Genomic DNA, 3,152 nt, shown 5'->3' with positions numbered 1-3,152 from the left:
CAGAGTATTTGAAGTGAGGTCAGTCCAATTTGGATATCATAGAAGAAAAGAAATAGGATGTGCTAGGTTAAGCCTGAAATGGTATCTGGGAAGTCACATTCATGATGTGAACTCAAAGAACACAGGTGCTACAGTGCAGACCAAGGCCCAGTCTGACTGGACCCAACAGGGTCAGGTGTGGATCTGTGAGTAGTGCTCACTGAGCCCCTGCCAGCAGTGTCCAGCAGGGCACCGCTGCTCAGTAGTGTGCTTTTAGAACCTGCCAGAGGAGCTCCAGCATTGGGACCATGTGCCCCATTCATCGTAATCAGGGTCCTATATCCACTGAGTTTTCCATCTCAGGACAGCTGATGAGGCAAGAAATGTGTTGTTGCTAGTTCCCAAGCTGCTGGGGCTGTTGGGAAGCAGTATCACAAAACCTTCTATGCAAACTACGCATCTTTTGCTTAGTGCTGGGCCAAGTGGACCTTGGCTAACGGTATTCCATAGCTGTCAGAAAGGCTTTCTGGTTTTCTCCCAGCTCCACCAGGATACATCTCTGACCCCCTCTTCTGGACCCTCCCGTGGACTTGGAGGAATGAGGCCCAGAAGCTCCTCAGCAGATAGGTAGCTGCACAAAAGGGGGACAGGCCCACGTTTCCTGCTGTTTTAAGGACTTCTGGTGGCTGCGCTTCTTGCATGGTTCCTGGAAGGCAAGGGTCACAAGGAGTACATGGCAGAGCTCTTAGGGATTTCACCTGCAGACAAAAATAAAACAAACCAAATCAGTGTATATTGCCAGGCCCTACTGATGGCTACCTGAAGCTGGAGTGAGAGCTATGGGGTGACTAAAGACAGGAGCACGGTGAGAGCCAGTTAAGAGGATGAGCTAAGAGCATGCGTTGCAGTCTCGAAGAACAACAGGTGCCTGAGGTTAGGGGGAGCCTCCCCACCTCCCTGTGTGCTGAGATCCCTGCTCCGATTCACTGCACACTGGGTGGCTGGATCCTACCACTCCCTCTTCAGGGGCCAGGTGACTCTCCAAATCACTGTCTCAGCAGAAAGAGGGCTTTGCCAAGTCCACCCAAGAAAGAAGTGCTTAGCATGAAACATGCACATACAGAAACAGCCTGTTGTAGAAAGAAGAGGACATTTTGCAGGGGGGTCCTCTGTTAAGTTTATGTCCAGTTGCCACAATGAGGGTGTGGAGGGGCCAAGTCCACAGGGACCTCAGAGCTCAACTAAGTCCAGTTCCATCTTTGACAGATAAGGGTGCAGCAGTCTCATAGAGATTAAAGGACAAGCCAAGGCCACACAGCAGTTAGTGATAAGCCAGGGATTAGAACCGAGGCCTCGGGTCCTTTCCAGTGATCTATGGGAGGTGGAGGGGAAAGCTTCCACACTGGAGAAAGCCAGTGGATACTAGAGACTTTTGGGTTACCTTTTAGTGGATACAAGAGACTTTTTGGGTTACCTTTCCTGGGACAGGAATAAGGCTTTACAGAGGCAATCCTGTAAGTGTTGCTCTAAAGAGGCCTAGGAAAGAGAAGAATTATCAGAGAAAAACAAAAGGGAGTTAGTGAAAAAAAAAAAAAAAAAAAGAGCAAGTTAAACTGGCCCAAGTCATTTTCACACTATTTTCACACTATGGAGATCAACATTCTCTCAGGTTACAGTTTAGAAATATTTCTAGGAATATGCTCAATTGCTTATGGCAAAGCTTTGAAGTCCACGTTAAAAGGTTTAGTTTCTGATTTTTAAACCATTCATATACCTCAAGTTTTTCTTCAAAGCACTTCCTAGGGAACGGTTAACACTTAGTGTTTTAAGTAAATGTAGAGAATATGTGGTACATATATAACATTTTTCCCCTTAAGATTCAGTTGTTATTTATTAACAAATTCTCTTTTAGACCAATGAGACCCAACAGATCTCTTTTGTCATGTTTCTTAAAGATATATCAAAATCAAATTGCTGTTCTTAACACAGGAGTGTGCAGTGAAATCAGTTTATTAGGTTGCAAATTGCTTTTACTTTTTCATGAAGACTAGACCACATAACTGGCCTCAAGATCCCTCTACCAAAAGCTCATTCAGAGGCAGACTTCCGGATGTCTAATGACTTTGAGAGTGAGCTGAATTGCATTTCTCCAGTCTCCTGACTTGGCATCAAAGAAGAAAAATTGGAGTAAAAAGGAGAGATGACGACAATGTGAGAGTGAACCAAAATACTGGGGCAGGAGCTGACAGGGTGAGAGAGTGATGGGAACAGAAATTAGCAGGATGCTCACTGAGGACCTGTGATCTTGCAAGTGGACCCAAAATCTTCTCCTGGAAGGCCAAAGCAGGCCAAGGGTCACCTACAAGATATGCTAACGGATGGCAATGGGTTGGGGACAGGCTTGGTGCCTCTGACTGCTGCAGTAGTTTCCTTACCTCTAAGTTAGTGCTTGCCTTCTTTAAAACATCATGTGTTCTGGTTACTGAAACAACAAAAGAGCACCACAGAGTAGAAATCACCAGCAAAAATTAACCCTACTTGCTTAGCATGAGAATTCTAAAGCATTTATTTCTTTCTGGCCATTCAGCTTGGAGTCTCCTGCTATCCACCCCATCCTCCTCTCCTCTGCATCCACAATTGCTCATGGCACAGGAGGTTTGGGGACATCAAATCAGTCTCAACTCCCAACATCCCCAAGCCCCCCTGGTCACTGCTCATCTGCAGCACAAGTGGGGCATCGGGAAGACTGCCTGTTTCTTCCCCCATTCCCTCTCAGGGAACCTACGCTGGCTGATGATGAACTGCTCCATGCTCTCCTTCTGCTGGTTGGCGGTCTTCAGATGCTCAGCTATGCTTTGAAGGAGCCACTCCTGTTTGGATACTTTGGTTCTCAGTTCCAGAAGTTCCCTTTCTGTCAATTCTCCCTTGATAAGAGGTACAGACTCTTACTGAACAGGCAGAAGGCCTAAAGCACCCTGTGCTTTGTGGCTCTTTCCAATTCAAAGAAGGATTCTACAATCTTCTCCACTCTCCTGAAATGGATTTCCTCCTTCACAGCCTCGAATACTTCCAGCTGAGGACAGTTTCGGATGAGGCCATTAGGCAGGAGTATTGAGACTCTGGAATTCCCCATGCAGACTAGCACAGGCCTACACACCTTTAGCTTAAGAGAA

General features: G+C 46.4%; 1 long non-coding RNA gene across 1 annotated transcript; it reads right to left on the bottom strand.

The window, feature by feature from the left end:
- Nucleotides 1-497: 497 nt before the first annotated feature.
- LOC112268273 (uncharacterized) lies at nucleotides 498-2,829 on the bottom strand. Its single transcript, XR_002958621.2, has 3 exons — nucleotides 2,765-2,829; nucleotides 2,415-2,461; nucleotides 498-685 (listed from the first exon to the last, which is right to left on the bottom strand). It is a non-coding gene; the product is annotated as an uncharacterized LOC112268273 (long non-coding RNA).
- Between the last annotated feature and the right edge of the window lie 323 nt (nucleotides 2,830-3,152).

This window comes from Homo sapiens, chromosome 1 (assembly GCF_000001405.40).
Source record: "Homo sapiens chromosome 1, GRCh38.p14 Primary Assembly".
NCBI lineage: Eukaryota > Metazoa > Chordata > Mammalia > Primates > Hominidae > Homo > Homo sapiens.
Note: the sequence above shows the minus strand (reverse complement) of the source record. Positions and strands in the feature narration are given on the sequence as shown.